Source organism: Homo sapiens, chromosome 8, assembly GCF_000001405.40.
Source record: "Homo sapiens chromosome 8, GRCh38.p14 Primary Assembly".
In the NCBI taxonomy this organism is placed as follows: Eukaryota; Metazoa; Chordata; class Mammalia; order Primates; family Hominidae; genus Homo; species Homo sapiens.
In genome coordinates, this window is record NC_000008.11 from 12,987,179 (window position 1) to 13,010,300 (window position 23,122).

Genomic DNA, 23,122 nt, shown 5'->3' on the forward strand with positions numbered 1-23,122 from the left:
AGCTATGTAACTTTGGGAAAGTCACTTAGGTCCTCCTTCTTATCTGTAAAATGGGAGAACTAGTAGTTCCTATATTATATAGTTATTGGGAAGAGTCAATGTGTTAAATGCTTACAACACGGCCTGGCCCATAGCAAATAATTAATACAGACACTTCTCCACTTATGATGGGGTTACATCCCAATAAACCCATTATAAGTTGAAAATATTATAAGTCAAAAATGCACTTAGGCCTGGTGCAGTGGCTGACTTCTGTAATCCCAGCATTTCAGGAGGCCAAGGCAGGAGGACTGTTTGAGCCCAGGAGTTTGAGACCAGCCTGGGGAACGTAGGGAGACCCCATTTCTACAAAAATCACAAAATTAGCAGGATATGGTGGTACACGCCTATAGTCCCAGATACTTGGGAGGGGCTGAAGCAGGAGGATCATTTGCACCTGGGAGGTCAAGGCTGCAGTGAGCTACGATGGTGCCACTGCACTCCAGCCTGGGCAACAGAATGAATACCCTGTCTCAAAAAAAAAAATGCATTTAATACAACTAACCTACAGAACATCATAGCTTACCTCCCTAGCCTACCTTAAACGTGCTCAGAACATTTACATTAGCCGACAGCTGGGCAAAATCACCTGGCAAAAAGGAACACTGTCAAATCTCAGTTGTCTACATTCATGATGGTGTGCCAACTGGGAGATGTGGCTCTCTGTGGCTTCCCAGCATTGTGAGAGAGGATCCCACCGCATGTCATTAGCCTGGAAAAAAGATCACAATTCAAAATTCAAAGCACAATTATTACTGAATGTATATCACTTTGACACCATCATAAAGTCAAACCTTCATAAGTCTGGGACCATCTGTATATATTTCTGTGCGTGTGTTGCTGTTATTGCTGTTGTTATTCATTTATTGGCTTTGTGTCTTTCTTTTTGCATATGCTGTTTCATATGCCTGGAATCACCCACTTCTCCTTTTCACCTGGCTGACCCCACTCATCTTTTGAACTTCCGTTTAGGTGTCAGCCCCTTGAGGGAGCCTTCACTCCCCCTTCCCACTCCAGGCTGGATCAGTCGCCTATGTGCTCCTGTAGCACCGGCGCACACCCACATCATAACATTCTTCACACCAGATAAGGGGTATTGACATTGTGATTTTGAACACTGTTTAGATCCATGATAATTAATAATTTGCAATAACACAAAATGATTATTTTATAATGATTGTATGAATATATGATTACAGTATTAGTCCATTCTCAGGCTACTAATAAAGACATACCCGAGACTGTGTAATTTATAAAGGAAAGAGGTTTAATTGACTCACAGTTCAGCATGGCTGGGGAGGCCTCAGGAAACTTACAATCATGAGTGGAAGGGGAAGCAAACATATCCTTCTTCACATGGCGGCAGCAAGGAGAAGTGCCAAGCAAAAGGGAAAAAATTCCCTTATAAAACCATCAGATCTCTTGAGAACTCACTCACTATCATGAGAACAGCATGAGGGTAACCACCCCTATGATTCAATTACCTCCCACCAGTTCCCTCCCACAATACATGGGGATGATGGGAACTACAATTCAAGATGAGATTTGGGTGGGGACACAGCCAAACCATATCAATTCTATTATTTTTTAGATGATTATATCAAATAATCTTGATTCTTGGTATTAAATAAGGCAAGGCATGAGTTTGGGGAATCACATTAGCTCAGGATGTATCCATCCCAGAAGTAAAGTTCTACTGCACTTTAATTTTCTGTTTATTTGTATGCTTCAGATATTAAATTCTGGGGTCCTGAATGGGGTGAGAGCTCTTTTATCTGTATCCCTAGTGCCTTACATCTGCCAGAGATTCAGTTAATATTTGTTGAAAAGATGAATGTGTATTTTTAATTTAATACAGAAATTTTTTTTTTTTCAAAAATCTGGCTTTGCCCCTGAGCCATGGTTTGTGGTGCTGACCCTCTTCCCAGGAAAATACACGCATGGCTTATTTCAGAAGGTTTAAGGTACAGACCTTGCCCTAGAAGATGGCCTCCTGTTTAGTCAAAGAGAAGAGAAGAAGAAATGTGTTTCTTTCAATACTAAATATGACTGATTTAATAAAAAGTCTCAATTGGAATTCAACTCCTTTTAGATATATACGACCCCATTCTATCTTTGCCCAGTAACTTCTTGGAGAAGGTGATATGATTCATGCACTTTAGACAGAGGCAAATTTGGATCCTAATTTAGGAAAAAGAAGCAAAATCAGTCATATTTGTAGGTGTTTTGGGTGCCTGATTTGGGCGTATAGACAAGCCTCCTGCCCAGGTAGCACACATATGCCTCCTACTTCTACACTAGCTACAATTCCTCTTCTCATTGGTACTCTTACTGATGGGGGCGTTGAAGACTTTGCCTTTGGTGGCTTATCTGAGGGGTCTAACACATTTAGGCACAAATGCCTGAAGGAAAGGCGCATAGACAACCACATTGTCTGATGACAGTCGACTGCCCAGGTCAGAGCCTGGCAGGGTAAGTCCGAACAGAGAATCTTTAGCTTTACCCTGTCATAGGGACTCAGTTAGCAAACATCATCTCTCTTATAATTAAGGTAGGCTCTAAAATTGCATGAGGAAAGATAAGATGCTTTGGTAGCTCTTTCAAAATGCTTCTTAAACGCACTTCTAAAAAGTTAGCTTCTGTGGCTCTCAATGGCACAGATCATGTGCCTACATATGAGTGAGATGTAGCTGGGGTTAAAATCTATAGGCAAGTTCTGAAGACTAGAGAGAAGTTTTCCAAAGCACATCCAGATCATTGATTCTTAAATAGGGGCCAGGACTAGGGTTGGGCTGGTGTAGGGGAATGTTGGGGGAAGGCACACGCATCTCTGAGTAGAAAACCCACACGCACCCTGCCATCGTGAGAATCACTGGGTGTAATAAGAAGTACAGTTTGTGGCAGTGTGGTGAACACACAAGTGATAAGGAAACTAGGAAAAATGGTTGCAGGCTGGGACTTAGATTATGGTCCATTCACCCCACTTGCAGACAAGCAATTAGGGTCCAAGGTGTTATAGGATGGGCTTTTCCTATCATATCAGGCATCTCTCGAGATCTCATTGTATATCACAAGACCTCTATATTACAAAGTGGTTTTTGGTGCATTATTTTTTTAATAACTAAAAGCCTTTTGATGGGTTTCATAACAAACTCTTATGAAGAAGAAAAATGTGAACAATGATGAATAACTACGAGTACTTATCAAAGTGACAAGAAAGTAGCTAGTAATATGGAAAATATTGAGCAGTCCAATTGTACTGGAATGATTTAGTACAATTTAGTAATATTGTCTTAGGTAGTATTTATTTAATTAAGCCCCTGGAATCAGAGATGACTCTCAATGTTAGCAATTTTCCCAGGAACAAGATGAAATCATTCAATTTAATTTTAGGAGAAAGTATTGTATGTTTTATAGAAAGCTTAGGAATTGATTTATTGGCCTATTGATTTGAACTGCTCTTATAATTCTGGCACACTCCACATATTAACAATTCTTTCTAATCCCTACTTGGCTGGGTAATTTATGCATAGGTCAGGAAGTCAGCCTGGGCTGTAGCTGGCTCCATATACATACCATGTGAAATGACATTTAGTATTTGTTTTCTTCCTGATAGGGCCTGTGCTTCCTTCAGAGACTCACACAAGAGGTTTATCATGAGAAGGACCGCACTATTTCATTTCACTCCTACAAGTTTTCATTTACGTTACACATTGAGAAAGTTATGAGAAGCAACTGTCACTCTCTGGAGGTGGAGACTGCCGTGATTCACAAAGACAAGAGGTAATTTTCCTGTAATCACAGGATGACTCAGGTTAGTAGCTTTCAGCGCTTCTGCAACTCACATACCATGAGGTGTTTTTAGCAATGTGCATATTTAGTGAACCTAATTCTTCCCAATCCCTATAATTTTAAATTTATGACAATGTGATATAAAGTAAGTTGGAATTTATTTTTGCATGAGGTGGAAAACAGTATTTGAAAGTAGTTGTACAGGGTATGTAAAAATTATAAGAACATATTTAGCATTTTTAGAAAGCAAAATACTTTTGTAGGACTTAAACATATTTTTAAATGAGATTTTTATCACACAAAAGTTTACAATATCATTTGTACTTGGAAATGATATATAGATGTTAAGTGTGAAGTTGCATGTATTAAAAAGTAAAATGAAAAAGCTATGCATTTTGTAATTAGGTCTTTTTTATAATGTAAGTTGTCTTTTAACTGTTCGGACCAACTTGCATTTTCACTTTAGAATTGTAGTTTAAGTGTGTCTTTGAAATTTAAAGCAGAATTTTATGCTCTCTCTTTTTTAATTCTGTGTCTTCTGTGGCATTTATAATAGGAGAGCCATTTCCAATATTTGTATTTCTTTTTAGTTATGAAAAAGTGACCATCGTATGCCTAGATTGTACCTATAATACAGACCTGGCTGGGCGCATTGGCTCATGCCTGTAATTCCAGCACTTTGGGAGGCCGAGGCAGGTGGATCACCTGAGGTCCGGAGTTCAAGACCAGCCTGGCCAACATGGTGACCCCGTCTCTACTAAAAATGCACAACTTAGCCAGGCGTGGTGGTGGGCGCCTGTAATCCCAACTACTCGGGAGGCTGGGTTAGGAGAATTGCTTGAACCCAGGAGGTGGAGGTTGCAGCAAGCCGAGATTGCGCCACTGCACTCCAGGCTGGGCAACAAGAGCAAGACTCTGTCTCAAAAACAACAACAACAACAGACCTCTGGGGCAGCAAATCAGAAAACACAAAATAAAACTGGAAAAGCTCAGTCTTGCTTTCCTCCAAGTGCCCATTGACTCACAGCTGGCTCTTTAGGATTTATAACCAAAGAGTCAAGGACCAGCTTGTACAGAGTAAAGTATTGTTGTTTTGCAGAGGGAGCTAAGAAACAGCTCCTTGATTCATTGGATCTACAATTAATTATTGAGTGATGCTCTGTGTTCTGCACTATCCTAGGCTCTATGATGTACAGATGAGACATAGATAGAGATATATAAAAACATCACATTTCCATCTCTGCCGTCCAAAAACTTATAATCTATTTGGGAACATATACAGAGTTGAGAGTTCATGACAGTATCCGGAAAAATGTCCTAAGAGTGATAGAGATAATAAATTTGCAGTGTATAGAAGTCCTGGGGCCGGGCACAGTGGCTCACACCTGTAATTCTAGCTCTTTGGGAGGCCTGGGTAGACAGTGCAGTGGTTCACCATCAGAGGAAATGTGATAGGAGGTGTAGGTTCTAGACTTGGGCATATTGTCTCTGTGGTATCTGAAGGACAACAAACTTAGATGGTCATGAAGCTCAGGAGAACTTCATTTAAACAGCATCATTGACTGGGCACAGTGGCTCATGCTTGCAATCCCAGCATTTTGAGAGGCCGGGTTAGGCAGATCACCTGAGCTCAGGAGTTTGAGACCAGCCTGGGCAACATGGTGAAAACCCATCTCTACTAAAATACAAAAAAAGAAAAAAAAAAGCCAGGTGTGACGGCATGCACCTGTGGTCTTGTGGTCCCAGCTACTCAGGAGGCTGAGGCAGGAGAATTGCTTGAATCTGGGAGGCAGAGGTTGCAGTGAGCAGAGATCATGCCACTACACTCCAGCCTAGGAGACAGAGCAAGACTCCATCTCCAAAAAGTAAAAACTAAAAATAAGTCCTGGAATGGATGATTTTTATCTGTAGTTACCCATAAATTCTTTATGCAGGAGGAAGAAACTGTGCTAGACTTTGCAGACCAGTAGATTTTGGCAGGAGGAAGTGATAGGAGAGCATTGCCGGTGAGAGAGAATAGACTGCTGGCTTCAGCAAAGACCTGAATAAGGTCCTGAGCAAGTCCCTCTCGGGAAAAAGTGAGTAGATTTGTGTGGATACAGCTGAGAGTCTGAGGTACTGTCGTTGCACGATATAAGACTGCAAAGTGGACTGGACCAGGTCAGGGAGGGTTTTCGTGACAGACTGAGGAGTGCAGGTGCTATCCCGTAGGCAGCAGAGGTCCCCTGAAGGGCTTTCAAGAAGGAGTGAATATTATCCAATGAGGTTGTATAGAAAAATTAACCCTGCACTGCCATGAAATAGAGATTCTAACCAACTTTCCTTGAATTCATAGAAGGAAAATCATGAATTGTAGCCAGCAAACCAGGAATGGCACATGTGCTATGTGGTTTACGCAGTTACCTTTTACTGTAAGAATGTATTGTGTCTCCAGCCAAGTGGACATTAACAGAGAAGGTTGTGTTGCCAACTCCCATCTTTATGAATATATTAGAGGGGATAGATGTGGGGGGTGCAGAGACAGCAAGAGGAACAGACAGACCAGTTAGACTAGCTGAGATACTAGGGGATGGCAGTACAAACAGAAAGACAGAAAGGGGGCAAAGGTGCCAGCACTGTGACAACTTTGATCTTCTAGGCTGGCATTCCAATAGCACATTGCTATCTCAGCAGATTCTTTTGCTCCAGTCAGAGTCCCTTCATCCATTTGTGATGAGTCCTGTTGGCAACCCTAGTGGCCATGGTACATCTCTTTCACTGTGGCCCCCACTGGGGTACATGCTGTGATTGTGAAGAAGCATTCAAGTTTGTAATACTTTAGTCCTTTGGCTATACATGTCAAAATCAACTAAAGCAAGAAGGAGGATTTGTTGGGAGTGCCTAAGTAGCTGGCACAATAAAAGGAACTGCTGCAAACTAAACCTCGGGAAAGTTACAACTTGGGATGAGGCATGAGGATCTTTTCTTCAGGGCTGAGCCATCAGCAGTTCTGCTCCAACCTCTTGTCAATTTCCTGGGCGAGGGAGAATAACTGTCCGAGACTGGATCATGTGCCCACCCCACTGCCACAGTCAATGTGCCTGGCAGGCCCCAGTGACACTTGGAGTCTGAGAGAGGTGCAGTTCCCCAAAGGAACAGAGGATAAACAGAAGCTTTTAAAAGTATTTTAATCTCTAAAACGTCTGCGACTGCAAATAGTGGTCATATGTGTGTGCATGGTCTCAGGCTTGGGAACGGATCAGGTATTCCCCAGAATCTTAGATCTCCAAAATTACTTTTCACTGCTACCTCTGATGGACCCTCTGCTCTTTCAAACTAATGTTTTGAAAAAAATAAAACTTTTTTATTTTTTAAGAAGATACTGATATTGACTAGAAGGTATTGACTAGGCAATACCTTCATGCCTGCATGCCTCTAGCTGCATGGATTAAGTGTCTTTTCTCTTTCTCCCTTTCCTTTCTTCCCTTCGGTAGCGCTCAGCTCTTCAAACACATCAAGTGCCCGGAGGTGACTTAATTTATGCGTCTTAGCTATGTTGGAATTCTCAAGTTTGCTACTTTCCCTGAAAAGCAGGCTAAGAGGACCTTAAAAGCAGAGTGGCTTGTCCACCTTTGGGGAACCCTTGAATTGATTCTTCTTGCAAGTGCAATTTAAACGACAAGAAACGAACATTTTCTTTTTTTTTATTTGAGACGGAGTTTCGCTCCTGTTGCCCCGGCTGGAGTGCAGTGGCACGATCTCAGCTCACTGCAACCTCCGCCTTTCGGGTTCAAGCAATTCTCCTGCCTCAGCCTCCTGAGTACCTAGGATTATAGGCATGCACCACCATGCCCGGCTAATGTTTGTATTTTTAGTAGAGACGGGGTTTCTCCATGTTGGTCAGGCTGGTCTCGAACTCTCGACCTCAGGTGATCCACTCGCCTCGGCCTCCCAAAGTGCTGGAATTACAGGCGTGAGCCCCCGCGCCTGGCTGAAAAGAACATTTTCAAATCTTGCCTACGCTTCCAGGCTGAGTTCCAAGGCGCAGCTCCCGACTTCTCATGCATTCGTTTGAAGATGTGTCAGTTTACACACACAGAGGGCTCACTGAAAATTTCCCTTTTTAATAATTTCCTAATACTGTGGAAATGAACATAATAAACTGCAACACAATACAACTCTAGACTTTCTAGAGCAAGAATTGTTAACCTTTGGCATTATTTTGGGTTTTAGTTTCTTAACACAAAGCTTCAAGCAAGTTTCAGCTGCAGTTAGAAGCAGTCAAAATGTAATTTCCATTAGTGATAAATGTGTAAAAAGTTAAATGAGCAATTGATATTTGATTATATAAATCTAGTTTGAGTGCTAATTGGAGTAGATATAAACAAATTTATACAAAGTTATATATTTTTTACCTTTTCTTCTCTCTGTTCTTTATACATATTAAGTCATAGCTCTTAGCTCTTTGTCTGCTTTCCTTATTCTCCATTTCTGGCTTTCTTTGCACTAACATATATGAACCGCATGATAATCACTCAATACATATATTAATTGCCCGTTTCTTCTCCTTGCACTTCCCCTGGTTTCTTTCTTCTTTTCCTTGTCATTCTGTCTTGATCCTTTTCTTGATTTTTATAAAGAAAACTTTACTGATACACATGTTTGTCTTCTTTGTGTTGTTTTTGTTTTGGGTTTGGTTTTTTGGGAGGGAACACTGATTCATCTATTAGTTGTGTGTGTTTCGGGAGATTAACCATCCAGATACCAATTAGACCCAAGTCATTGTTGTCTTAGGTTCTAAGGCTTTTAAATATTATAACATTTTTCAGAAAGATTTTATTCTCTGCAGACTAAAAAGCTCAGCAGATTTTTCCAATAACTGCACATATAAAGAGCCACATAAACAGTAGACTAAATATCACAGATGATCCACATGAGAGTAATAAATGAGGACACTAGTTTGTCCATACATTTTTCATAAGGTACTGAAATAACTGAAAATTGTCTTAACGAGTAACAGTAACCATGAAACAGCAAGATAATTAGAGAATGAAGGTAAGCAGCAATAGCAACCACCTGCTGCTACAAGCTGAGGATCATGTAGCCTCCTTCCTGGACCTTTACACAATTTATGTTCCCATCTATTTATTGAGATCAGTAATCCTCATACATTATTATAGTTGTGCTACTTGGAAGCTGTGGCTGGCACAATTCATCCTTAATTTCACTTTGAGTTATTGAGTAAAGCTATTCAATGTGTAATAAGATCACAAATATAAGGTAGGTAAAATGAATTTCCTTCCTCTCATCATACTGATGAGTCACTTACCTGGTGCCCTAACTGAAACAACTTCTTTACTGGGAGCAAATGGACTCTATTCTTGGCTGGTTACTGGATAATCTGGCATTAGACATTATCTCATTTAAGTTACTTATTTCTTCAGTTAGATTTCTTCTGAGGCAAAACTCTCTCAGCACTTTCTGTATATACTATGACATAATCTTATTGAATGGGGATACTGCTTTGACATTTCACCTGATCTTTGAACCCAGTGATCTCCAATTTCTAGCTGCCCAGAAGGCACTGACTGGATGGCATTCATCCCTCATGGGAATGGCAGAACACAGATGAGAGAGGATACTCTGCTCAGTTTTAAGTTCTAACATGGTTTAAAGTACATAACAAGGCAACTGCCTCAAAGCAAAAGGGGGTTTTAATTGAAATATACATGGACCAAAGTGCATATATCATAAATGTACAAATAAATGAATGAATTTTTCATAACCTGAGCGCCCTCATGTAACCCGAGCCCAGATCAAGAAACAGAACATTATCAGCACCCCAGGACCACCTCCCAACCCCCAGTGCTCCCTGCCAGCTGCTACCCCAGGCAGCCTCTATCCCACTTCTAATGGCCCACATTTGTTTTATCTGTTTTTGTACCTTCTTTATTTTATTTTATTTTATTTTATTTTATTTTATTTTATTTTATTTTATTTTATTTTATTTTATTTTATTTTTTATTTTCTTTGATCTATCTATGGGCTCATGTTTTTGTACTTTCCATAAACGGAATCCAACAGTGTGTATTCTTTTGTGGACTTCCCTTTTAATATGATATTTGTGGAATGTATATCATTTGGATGTTTGTCCCCTCCAAATCTCATGTTAAAATGTGACCCCCAATGTTGGAGGTGGGGACTATTGGGATGTGTTCGGGTTATGGTGGTGGATCCCTCAGGAATGGCTTGGCATCCTCCTTATGGTAATGGGTGACTTCTTGCTCTATCAGTTCACATGAGAGCTGGTTGTTTAAAGGAGCCTGGCATCTCCTCCCCTCTCTCTTGCTCCCTCTCTGACCTTGTGACACACGTGCTCCTCAGTCACCTTCCACCATGAGTAACAGCTTCCTGAGGCCTCACCAGGATCCAAGCAGATGCTGGTGCCATGCTTGTACAGCCTGTAGAACCATGAACCAAACAAACTGCTTGTCCTTATAAATTACCCAGGCTCAGGAGTTCCTTTACAGCAACACGAAATGGACTAATATAGGGACTGATCCATATTGTTGCATATGGTTGCAAACTTCCATGCTACCCTGGTAGCATTTCATTCTATGAATATACCACAATTTATTTGATCATTTTACTGATGATGGTCACATGTGCAGTTTCCAGATTTGTGCTACTTCGAAGAGTGCTTCTTTGGATATTCTAGCATATGTCTTTTGGTGAATATGGGTGTCCATTTCTTTCGGATATATGTATATACTTTTAAGAGTGGGGTTGCTGGGCCATAGGCTATGCATATGTGTAGCTTTAGTTGTTGCTGTCAGGCGGTTTTCCAAACAGATTGAAACAATTCACATTTCTTCCAGTGGTGTATTAGAACTCACCGATTCCATGTTTTCACCAACACTAGATATTCTTTGTGTTTTCCATTTTACCCATTCTTTTGTATAGGTGGTGGGATCCTATTGTGGCTTAAATTTGCGGTTCCCTGATACTAGTGAAGTTAAGCCCCTTTGTGTGTGTTTCCTGCCCGTCTCCTGACCATTATGAAGTGTCTGTTAAAGTCTCTCGCCCATTTTTCAATTGTGTTGTCTTCTATTACTCTGTGATTTGTAAGAATTGTTTATATTCTGGATACTACTCAATTGTCATCTGTATGTACTACGAATACTTCTTCACACTCTGGGTTGAATTTTCCTTCTCTTCATGGTGTCTTCATTTTAATATAGTCTACTTTATTTTTCCTCTTATGGTTAGCACTTTATATGACCCTTTGTAAGAAATTTTAACTTACTCCAAGGTCATGAGGATGTTCTGTATTTTCCTCTAAAAGCTTTATTGTTCTGTATGATAGAAAGAGGTTTTAATTCATAAATGTATGTCAGTATTTGGAGACAGAACTGTTCTAAAGCCACGTGTGTTTTCCATAGAGCTAAAACATAGAGGACTCACTACAGGCAAAAGTGTGGTACAGAAAGAAACTCAAGATAGAGGTAATAGAAGTTCCCATCACAAACAAATGAGAAATCCCTTCTGATGACAGGGCTAAGTGCTTACAGCCTATTACCCTGGCCTCTGTGCTAACTTCTTAGGAGGAGCAGGTATAAAAAGCACCGTCTTGAGGACATTTAGTTATAGCACCTCCTCCCTGGTGACAAGGAGCCACTCTTGGGGACAAAACAAAGCCTTCTTTCTCAGAGTTCACTAGATTTCTGTGGGTCAAGTACAGAGTGTCATCTCCTTGATGAGACAGTAGAAAAACCTTTTCCCTGGAAGCCTTTTCAGTTCCTCAGAATATTTTTACTATTTGCCTCTGGGTGTGAATATGTGCATAGCTTTCCAGTGATCATTAAGAAGCTGGAAAAACTTGGGAAAAAACCTTTTTACTTTTATTTGTCAACACATCAAATACTCAGAGTTGCCTTTGAAATTGTGGCTGTTGGATATATATGTTAATGTCCACCTCTCTATCCCTGTTTCTTTACCCAGAAACATGGCATTAAGAAAGATTGTTCAGGGGCTGGGCGCAGTGGCTCACGCCTGTAATCCTAGCACTTTGGTAGGCCAAGGCAGGTGGATCATGAGGTCAGATGTTCAAGACCAGCCTAACCAACAGGGTGAAACCCCGTCTCTAGTAAAAATACAAAAATTAGCCAGGCATGGTGGTACGTGCCTATAATTCCAGGTACTCAGGAGGCTGAGGCAGGAGAATCGCTTGAACCTGGGAGGCGGAGGTTGCAGTGAGCCAAGATCATGCCATCGCACTCCAGCCTGGGTGACAGAGGGAGACTCCATCTCAAAAAAAAAAAAAAAAAGAAAAGAAAAAAAAAAAGAAAGATTGTTCAGGGTGGGAGAAGATGGGAGGGGTGATTTATTGGGGGAAGGATATGGTCATTATCTTGAGTGTCTTGATGGTTTCACACATACATACACGCATACGCACACACATATGTATGTAAAAACATCAAATTATATACTTTAAATATATGCAGTTTGTTATATGTCAATTATACCTAAATAAAACTGTTAAAATATGATTTAAAAATTTAAAAGAAATATTGTTGAATTGGCTAGAGTTCCATCATTCATGAATTCACTAAACGTATTTAGACCTATTACATTTAGGGCCAGTGCTAGATATTATGGGCTAACCAAAGATGTGTATGAAATCTTGTTTCTTATTTAGAAGTTCAGAATCTAGTAGAAATACTTAAGCCATTATAATACTTTACAGCACATGACATATTTCAAGTGCTGTGGAATTAGGGAGTGTAGAGGTTATATTTCTTTGAGAAGGTGGAGAAGACTGTAGGTAGAAGTTGCCACTAGGCTCACAATATTAAGTTCAAAAAAGTAGGATGCAAAACTGTCCGGTTTTCTCTCAATTTTATTATAATATATCTCTACGAGAAAGAAAACTTTTAATCTTTATGAAGAAAAAAGGGGGAACTTATATGGTAACAAGTTGTCATCTAATAAAAACTGATGTATACTTTTCACTTTTTCATGATCTAGATATTCTACAGTTCATATGATGAACTGAGCTTTTTATTCCTTTTGGTGGGTGGGATTAGAATACCCATGATATCTCTCCATCAAGAGTTCTGAGGGACCCAGGCTGATGCCTCCAGGACAAGGAACATTTCATTGCAGTGATAAGGGATAGGGAACTTGGAAAGCAACACAGTGGGGTAATCCTGATCTTTTCAGATGACGTTTATGCCATAGCAAGTCACTTAGGGTTTATCTGAATTCAAGTAGGTAGAAAAATGTTAGCCTAATCACATGTCCAGGGAAGGAAAACTAAACATTTGTGACTTCTCAGTAGAACCCTGTTGCTAGTAGCAGGAATTGCCAATGTCCTTCTCTTTGTTTTTCTACCCTTTGGAAACATGCCAGGCCACTAACTCTCCTGTTAGTTTTCTGTCACTTTCTGTCCTCTCTTCCATCCTCCAAGAAATAAATGCTGGAAATAGGCAGAGTTTGTGGGGCAAGGGAAGGAACAAAGATGATTCAATGTCTGGGATCTCCTCTTCTGTGCCTACATCAACTTCCCCCAGCAAAGTTAGTTGTATCTTTGTCTACTCAGTCTCATTTATGTTTTTGTCATCACATTTACGATTTCTTTTGATTGCTAGCATTCAATTTTGGGGGTTTGTTTTAAGGTTACCTCGTAAGCTTTACAAGTTGCTTGAAAAGTAGCAATAAAGGTAAGATATTACAACACTATGTGTCAGCATCCTTGCACGCTAGTTATTTAAAGTGTAAAATAATCATTTCAAAATGTTAATTAAAAAAGCAGTTTCCCTGCCTTGGGAAAGGTGTGGTTGTAAGAAACAGAAGTGAGTTCAAGTGAAGAATATTTCAGGGCTAGAACAGGGTATGGATTTGAGATTCAAGGTTAGGAAATGAAGTACCTCAGGACGCAAGGCTGGTACTGTAAAATGAACAGGTTTCTTGGAGATGAGTGACCCTGAGCCCCTATCTAGAGCCTACATAGGGACTAGAACTAGAATATCATCTACTAGACTTCCCCAATCTTTCTGCCTTTCCCCCCACCATGTTATGAAGCATCACGGATTCTCATCTTGTTTTTCTTTCCCTACAGCTACATTTATTTTGCAGAAAAATATTCTTTTGCTTCATCCATATGTGCATGGCTAAAAATGGACTCCCTAACACAGACTCCAAGTGATCACAACCAACCACTTGTGGTCATCTGACTATTCAGGTCTTTTAGTTCAAATTCTCAAGACTGGGTCAGTCTCACCCATGGACTGGTTCCCTGTAGATCTGGTTTTCAACCTGGGTCCACTCAGTGAGGCGGGGATCCCTGGAAAGAGGAGGCACAAGGCTCAGAAGCAGGTTCTCTTGGATCGACAGTGATGAGCAACTCTGATGCGCATCCTTCTGACTTCCTAGTTAAAACGTTTACCGTCTCATACTTTTAGTCTTTTTATAAACCATCTTAGAAGTTATGATTTGTAGATAACATACTTCACTAAAACTACATGAATGAAAAAGGATGATCAGGAAAAATGCTTTGTTTTGGGGACATTCTTAAATTGGAAAACACTAAATTAACATTTCCACAGTGTCTTCTACAGAATATTATTTCCTAAAAAGACAAGAGGTGTTTAAAGACAGAAAGAGTATTATAGACCCAATAATTCTGAGAAAAAAGCGAGATTTTTGAAACATCAACCGGGACTCTTTTCTCCAAGATTTTTCAAAACTCATAGTGTGCTGGTGTGCATTTTGAATCTCAAAGGAGGGACACAATGTGAGGCTTTAAGTACTGACTTTTTATGTGGATTATTTTATGGGTCTGGAATTTGACAGCACACAGATTAGGAATCCTGGCTAATCCAAACCCTTTATCTCTCGCTTCATCTGGAAACCCGTGCTCTTGTTTTAGTACTAGTCTTATTAGCTTAGTCACACTTTCAAACTCACAAGGAATTTGCTTATATAAATAAAATTCATGTGGAAACTATTATAGGAAATTTAAATCCGCAGCATTTAAAATTTAAATCTGCAGTGTTTATAAAGTTAACTGTAAAATATCAGAAAAACAAAATAGATTTATATTACTTATACACTTAAAAATAACTATCTTTTAGGTTACCCGATGGTAGTAGAGGCCATAGAAAACTTAGGGGAAGATCTTGGGGGTGCTGTTCAGATACTACAAATTCTGAGCTTGAAATTGAAGTCATTTTTAAATTGCAATTTGCAAGGAACCCAGTTTATGTCGGTTACCACTTAACATTTCCAAGTGCAACAAAGAAAAACTTGCTTGTTCTAGTGTTCTCTAAAACGTATTGCTTGATTGATTCCTTGAGAAAGGGGAAACGTAAATAGACTAAAATCTACTGAGATTTTGATTTAAATGAAAAGCACACAGTGTTTCTGTTTTTCTCTTGTGTGGGCAGTTATAGCCAGCCATATGTTTACTTCGTAAATTTCAGTTGAAGGTGCAACATAAGCTGTTTCAATTTGGGTGGAAGTTTAGTCAGACCTCACAAATTAGATTTATACTCAGTTAGGAGTTTGCTAGGATTTTTTGCAGGGGCTGTGGGTAGGTTCATACTGATTAAAGACAACCTATTACGTTTTAAGAGTAAATCCTGAATATCTGTTCCTTGAAACGGAAGGAATGATGGAATTATATTATCATCATTCGGTGATACTTGTAGTAATAATTGGGGCAAGAATCATTGGTAGATGCTAAAACTGGTGGGTGAGCAAATAAGAAACAATATTTGCATAGTCTCAAAGTCTCTCTCCATACAGGGAAGACACCGTCTTACCCAAGTACTTCCCACTTCCCAGGATAGGGGTAGAGGTGCGGGGACAGAGGCTGTCCAGGGACAGTATCTTCTCTCCAGTTACACTCCCATCTGCCAGTTTGCAGGTGTAGTGTCCCCTCCCTTCCCCAGCTCCTCAGGGTGATCACTCCCTCTGCTAACCAAAGCCAATACTACCCTCTGTACTCAGAGCCAGATTCCATTCTCACTATGTGTATTTATTTGATCATTTGCTGGGGGTCTGCTGTGTCCTAAGTGCTGGGGACTCAGTATTAAATAAGACAACTCCTTGTTCTCCAGAGTCTTCCAGCAGACTCTGCCAGAGAAAAATATCTTATCTAAATTCAACAATTACAGGACTATGTGATCCCTGTAGAGGTATGCATGGGATGCAATAGCTGATAGCCATCAGTAGGGCCAAATGAGTTCTTAAATGATTGAAAATACTTTCATACTGATGGGTAAAAGCCACAACCCGAGTCCCTGGCCACTTCCCTGGGATACCACTCACTCACATGCCAAAATAGAATAGAATAATTACAGGGTTAAGCCCAAAACGGGACCTGCTCTTGTGCTTTTCTTACTCCTTCCCTGTTGCCCTTATCCTGCCTGGAAGGTCAGGGAAGTCTTCCTGGAGGAGATGATGCCTTTTCCAAGAATGACTAGAATTTAGCCAGGTAAAGCATAGCATATGTTCAGGCCCCTGGATGAGAGGGAATGTGCCACCGCTGAGAAACAGTGGGTCATTGGGTATTATGGCTAATGCTGAGGAAAGATGGTGAGAAATAACCCTTAAGAGGTCTGGTGAGGCCAGATCGGAAAGAGCCTTATGTGCCCGCCTAAGCCAGCTGAACCCAATGGGACAAGCTATAAAATGCCTCTGAAGAAGTTGAAGGTAAGAACTGAGGGGGATAGTGTGGAGCAAGATGGCTAAATGGAAGGCTCCACTGATGGTGTGTCCCCACTCCGCCACCCTCCCCACAAGGACCAGAGTTAACACACAAAAAAAGCACCTACATAAGAACCAAAAATCAGGAGAGCGCTCACAGTGCCTGGTTTTGACTTCATATCACTAAAGGAAGCACAGAAGAGGGTGAGCAAGACAGTCTTGATATGCCCATGCCATCCCTCCTCCAACTCCCTGGCAGCAGCCATGTGCATGCAGAGAGAATCTGTGCTTAGGGGAGGGAGAATGCTGCGTTTGTGAAACACCGTATCGAACTCAGTGCTGCCCTGTCACAGTAGAAAGCAAAGCCATGTGGCTGAACTCAGCTGACAGCTGCCCACAGAGGGAGCATTTAAACCAGCCCTAGCCAGAGGGGAATTGCTGGTCCCAGCAGTCTGAACTTGAGTTCCGGCAGGCCTCACCACTGTAGGCTAAAGGGCTCTGGGGTACTAAATACACTTGAAAGGCAGTGTAGGCCCCAAGGACTGCAGCTCCTAGGTGAGTCCTCCTGCTGAACTGGCCTCAGAGCCCGTGGACCAGGTGGGGAGGAGGGAACGCCACTACTGAGACACCAGCTAGGGCTGCTAAGGGAGTGCTTGCACCACCCCGCTCCCAACCCAGGCTGCACAGCTCCTGGCTCCAAAAGAGCCCTTCCTTCTGCTTGAGGAGAGGAGAGGGAAGAATAAAGAGGATTTTGTCTTGTATTTTGGATACCAGTTCAGCTGCGGTAGGATAGGGCCCAGGCAGAGTCCTGAGGCCGTCTGTTCAGGCCCTACCCCCCAGATGATATTTCTAGACACACCCTGGGCCAGAAGGCAACCTGCTGTCTTGAAGGGAAGGACCTAGTCCTGTCAGGACCCATCACCTTCTGACTAAAGAGCCCTTTGGCCCTGAATAACCAGCGGTGATACCCAAGTAATACGCTGTGGGCCTTGGGTGAGACTCTGAGTCTTGCTGGCTCCAGATGCGACTTAGCACATTCCCATCTGTGGTGGCTATGGGGCAACACTCCTGCTTAAGAAAAGTGGAGGGACAAGGAAAGGGGACTTTGCCTTGCACATTAGGTACCAGCTCGGCCACAGTGGGGAAGGGGTCTTTGGAAAGGGGAGGGAAGAGTGGGAAGGGCTGCATCTCATGGCTTGAGTGCCAGCTCAGCCACAGTACACTAGAACACCAAGTAGACTTCTAAGGTTTTTGACTGCAGTCCCTGGCTCCCAGACAGCACCTCTAGACCTGCCCACGGCCTGGGGGAACTTGCTACAGAGGTTACACTGAGCCGAGATCATGCCACTGCACTCCAGCCTGGGCGATACAGCGAGACTGCATCTCAAAAAAAAAAAAAAAGAAAAAGAAAAGAAAAGAAATCCTGTCATTCGCAATAACATGGATGGATCTGGAGGTCATTATGTTAGCTGAAATCAGTCAGGCACAGAAAGACAGGCTTCATATGTTCTCACTTATTTGTGGCAGCTAAAAATTAAAATAATTGAACTCATGGTTATAGAGAGTAGAAGGATGGTTACGAGAGGCTGCAAAGCGTAGCGGGGAGGTGGGAGGGAAGTGGAGATTGTTAATGGGTACAAAAAACAGAATAAGACCTAGTATTTGCTAGGACAACAGGGTGACTATAGTAAAAAAAAATTTATTTGTACATTTTTAAATGACTAAAAGAGTATATTGGATTGTTTGTAACATAAAGGATAAGTGCTCGAGGTGATGAACACCCCATTCTCCCTCATGTGATTATTACGCCTTGCATGCCTGTATCAAAACATCTCATGTACTCCGTAAATATATACACCTACTATGTACCCACAAAAATTAAAAATAAATAAATAAGAAGCAACACAACCAGTCCTATATTTTACAAAAATAATTATGACGTAATTGAAATTGGGAAAAGCATTGAATGGCAAGAGAACCGTTTTGCCAGCTGTTGAAGTAATTCAGTAAAGAAATGGGCACCTATACTAAAATAAAAGCAGTACTGATACAGAGACATGGCTGGAACCCAAACACTAAAAAGGGAGAATTAATAGCGCTTTGCTATTGGGTTGAAATGGTGAGCTACCTGTTATGAAATTTTGAAATCTATTTAGCATCAGATACAATGGTCTTATCCAAAGTAAACCATTTGGTAAGAATTTTGGCTATGCTTCCAAAATTAAGAATTCATCTTGTACAGGAACTTATTACACAATAATTAGCTCTTTCTCAAAATTGTTTTCCTTAACATGGCAGGTAAAAACCATGCATTTGCTAGTCTTTTGGCTACTATGGCGAGGTTATAGTGAAGGTATTGTTCTTTGCAGCTTATAAGAAAGTGTGCAAACAGCATGAGTTTGCAGTTGTAGGCTCCAGATTTTAGGAAATCTGCATCCTCCTTCAGCCATCTATGGTGCATAGGCTGACCTGCATGCCTTGGGTTGGTCCTGTTTTCTCCAGGATGGATCATGAAGCCGCCCAGCTGGAGAAGCAGCATGTGCACAATGTGTACGAGAGCACAGCCCCTTACTTCAGCGACCTGCAGAGCAAAGCCTGGCCTCGTGTCCGCCAGTTCCTGCAAGAGCAGAAGCCAGGCAGCCTCATCGCTGACATAGGTAACCAGGCAGCCTCATCGCTGACATAGGTAACCAGGCAGCCTCATCGCTGACATAGGTAACCAGGCAGCCTCATCGCTGACATAGGTAACCAGGCAGCCTCATTGCTGTCATAGGTAACCCAGCACTGGGCCGTGTAGCATGAAATACCTTCCATTGAGCCTTTGCTTTTCACATTGATTTTTCATTTTTGTTCTAATAGGAATCCTGAAATTGCACCCTTGGCATGCCAGTACCTAGAATATTCATTTTACAGCAGAAACTCGAGACAGTCAAGTCAGCAGCAAGTAAAAAACTTTCTCAAACTTTTATTTTATTTTTATTCTTTTGAGATGGAGTTTCACTCTTGTCAACCAGATTGGAGTGCAGTGGTGCAATCTCAGCTTGCTGCAAACTCCGCCTCCCAGGTTCAACTGATTCTCCTGCCTCAGACTCCCAAATAGCTATGATTACAGGCACCCGCCACCACGCCCAGCTAATTTTTGTATTTTTAGTAGAAACGGGGTTTTGCCATGTTGGCCAGACTGGTCTCAAACTCCTGACCTCAGATGATCCATCTGTCTCGGCTTCCCAAAGTGCTGGGATTACAGGCTTGAGCCACCGTGCCTGGCCTCAAACTTTACCTTTAGACAGTGGCTCTTCAGGGCCTTTGTGTACATCCTCCACCAAAACGGACCTGACATTGATTGACTAAATCAGGATGGAAATGATGGCTTGTGAAACTAACCGTTGTAAATTTAAAGATATTCACATTTGCCAAATGTGTTCTCCTCTGGTGGCTCACTTTGAGTGGCTCACATGCCTTCTATAGAATTGTGGGATTATGGAAGAGGTCCAGTAATATCTTATGAATCTCATGGGTCCTTTCCTTTAATTATTCTATAGGTGTTTCATTATAGGAGCGCATCTTTAATTAGACAGTATTTTAATAATAACTTATTTGTCTGGAGGACGTTGGTTCAGTATCTTCGTAAATCAAGAACTGGTAAACCACAGCTTAGTAGATCTAGGACTAAGACTTAAAATGTGGTTGGAATCTCACTCAAGGCCTACCCACCTAAAACTGCGTTCTAGCAATTGCATGCTGACTGCACCTATGAGTCGTAAGTCTGTAGTTGCAAAGTGTGTCTAGTTTGATATTCTTTCTAAATACTGGTAAGAGAAACAGACATACCAGAACTTGTGGCTTGCTGAAGATGGTATGAGTAATGTGGAATCTGGGGAAGGGGTGCATGTCACATGGAAATTGGGAGTCTTTGAAAAATATCTCTATCCTGTAAATTAAAAAATAATAAATCTAGTTTCGGAGTGTGCAGTGAGTTTGGAGCTCTTACCACGTATAATCTAAGTAAGCCACGTACCAGGATCTTAAAATCAGTGGGGGAAAGGAACTATTCAGTAAATGGCTTTGGGATAACGACATATATAATCAGAGAGTTACTTTCTCACACCTTACATCAAAATAAATTCCAAATGAAGCAAAGATTTAAGTATAAGAAAATGAGCTCATTAAAGGACTAAATGACTAGATTGTTATTTAAAATATTCTCAGAGGCAAAATGCCTATATATGATACACATACAAAAAGAAATCGTAAAAGAATATACAGTTGATTGCCATTATTCACAGTACTTACATTTCATATATGTATCATAAACATTGAATTGGCAAATACTGAATCATTGTTTTTAGGGGAAATGTTGGATTAGGCTCCTGTAAGCTTCAGGTCACAACATTTTTGTCAATTTACCAATGTATAAGCTTGTTGCATATGTGTTTCTGTTTAAAGACACCTTCTTTACTATATATCATTATTTCATAAACATTGGGCTCACGGCCAGCACACTATAACTCTTTCGTGAACAAAGCTTATCTAACACATATATTTTGTCCATCAGAGACATCCCAGCCTTCTTATGTTCAGGAACACTAGACGGCATTTCAGCCCCAGGCTTAGGCCATTTGAAAGAGCAAAATCACCAGTAAAAACTGTACAAATGGAGAAATTGTGGCCCTAAATAGATTATGGAAAGGACACTTGATTACGGTATGGGAGCTGAAAAAAGGAGGCTGGGTATGTGGGTCTCAGATGACTCAAATATTTTGCTGCACTGTGAGTATTTAAGTCTAATAATGACAATGCAAGGCTGTAGTATTGACGTTGGGGTTACAAATAAATTTCAGCAGGTACATTAACTGCAAATATGGAAGCTGTAATTTATGAGGATTAACTATATTGACAGATAACTTTGACCCTATAAAAATGGAAAAGTTCCACAAGACAAAAATCTAGACAGACATACAATTCAAGTCAAAAGACCAAAATCAAACTAAGTAAAAATATCTGCAACACATGTCATAGAAATCTAGATAATTTTTTTTTCTTTTTTGAGACGGAGTCTTGCTCTGTTGCCCAGGCTGGAGTGCAGGGGCGCCATCTCGGCTCACTGCAAGCTCCGCCTCCCGGGTTCACGCCATTCTCCTGCCTCAGCCTCCCTAGTAGCTGGGACTACAGTTGCCCGCCACCACGCCCAGCTAATTTTTTGTATTTTTAGTAGAGACGGAGTTTCACCGTGTTAGCCAGGATGGTGTCGATCTCCTGACTTTGTGATCCACCGACCTTCGCCTCCCAAAGTGCTGGGATTACAGGCGTGAGCCACCGCGCCCGGCCGGTAATTTTTTTAATCTACTAAGCATTCTTCAACATCACTGTAAAAAAAGGACCAGCATCCTGTCATTTGCGACAACACGGAGGAACCTGGAAGATATTATGCTAGGTGAAATCAGCCAGGCACAGAAAGACAAATACCCAGTGATCTCACTTATACATGGGATCTAAAACAGTTGGACTCATAGAAGGAGAGATTAAAATGGTGGTTACCTGGGGCTGGGGTGTCGAAGCGGGTGGGGTAGGTGTAGGAAATGGTAAGACGTTGGTTAAAAGGCTCAGAGTATCAAACAGAAGGAATTAAATTCAAAGGAAAAAAAAAGGGAAAACTATCAACAAGTCACAAGAAAAATAGGGAAAGGATGTGAACAAATGGTTCAAAATGTGTAAAAGTATTTTAATAGGTAACCCACTGATACGGTTCGGCAACAAAGTACAAAAGAATGCTTAGTGTAAAATCTTCTCCCATCCCAGTCCCTGGCGCCAAGCAACCCACACCAGAGGCCTCTGACGCTGTTAGCTTCTTGTATGATCTTTTTGAGATGTTTTATGTAAAAATAAGCGTATTTGTGCCTGTGAGAGTGTGATGGGTAATTTCCCTTTTTTGGTTACACTAATGGTAGTATACTATAAAAACAATTATAATTATACACCTAGGTTTTGTTATACTTTTAATATATTGAGGAAATCATTCCATATTTATATTTATTATAGAGCTACCCAGTATTAAAACCTGCCTAGCATTCTATGCTAATAGTGCCATATTAACATTTAATACATGTTGTTTGCTGTATTTTGCCGCTACAAATTACACTACAGATAGGCCAGGCGCGGTATCTCACACGTGTAATCCTAGCACTTTGGGAGGTGTGGCGGGCAGATCTTTTAGCTCAGGAGTTCGAGACCAGCCTGGAAAACATGGTGAAACCCCATCTCTACAAAAAATACAACAACAGTAAAAATAATTAGCTAAGCATGATACACGTGCCTGTAGTCTCAGCTACTTGGGAGGCTGAGGTAGGAGGACAGATTGAGTCTGGGAGGCAGAGGTTGCAGTGAGCCGAGATGGTGCCACTGCATTCTAGCCTGGGTGGCATAGTGAGACCCTATCTGAAAAAAAAAAAAAAAGTCTCACAAATAATATTCTTTAAATACCTCTGTGCAAATCAACAACTACATCTATAGTAAATATCTTTTTGCCAATTTGTATCTTTTGAATTTTGTACTATATACATTTTTTAAACTATTCAATAAATAGGGTCATATTTTCATTGCA

At 41.0% G+C, this 23,122-nt stretch overlaps 1 protein-coding gene and 1 long non-coding RNA gene across 6 annotated transcripts in view, besides 1 other annotated feature; one reads left to right on the top strand and one right to left on the bottom strand.

The window, feature by feature from the left end:
• TRMT9B (tRNA methyltransferase 9B (putative)) overlaps positions 1-23,122 on the top strand; it is an 84,105-nt gene that overhangs the window by 41,506 nt on the left and 19,477 nt on the right. Inside the window, exons 2-3 of the mRNA NM_020844.3 lie at positions 3,656-3,853; positions 19,024-19,178. Of these exons, the coding sequence (NP_065895.2) occupies positions 19,025-19,178 (154 nt within the window). The 5' untranslated portion in view covers positions 3,656-3,853; position 19,024. The remainder of the gene's footprint in view (positions 1-3,655; positions 3,854-19,023; positions 19,179-23,122) is intronic.
• LOC124901889 (uncharacterized) overlaps positions 1-23,122 on the bottom strand; it is a 51,754-nt gene that overhangs the window by 1,936 nt on the left and 26,696 nt on the right. For 4 of the 5 annotated variants that reach the window (XR_007060825.1, XR_007060826.1, XR_007060827.1 and 1 more), the window contains exon 5: positions 629-751. This is a non-coding gene — a long non-coding RNA (uncharacterized LOC124901889). Of the gene's footprint in view, positions 1-578; positions 752-23,122 lie in introns of all 5 variants that reach the window. The other variant, XR_007060829.1, reaches the window with a different exon arrangement.
• Positions 18,922-19,216: a silencer, noted in NCBI's record as "tiled region #1393; HepG2 Repressive non-DNase unmatched - State 21:Repr". NCBI's record gives its function as "represses a minimal TATA promoter and a strong SV40 promoter by Sharpr-MPRA in HepG2 cells {active_cell/tissue: HepG2}" and the evidence as "EXISTENCE:reporter gene assay evidence [ECO:0000049][PMID:27701403]".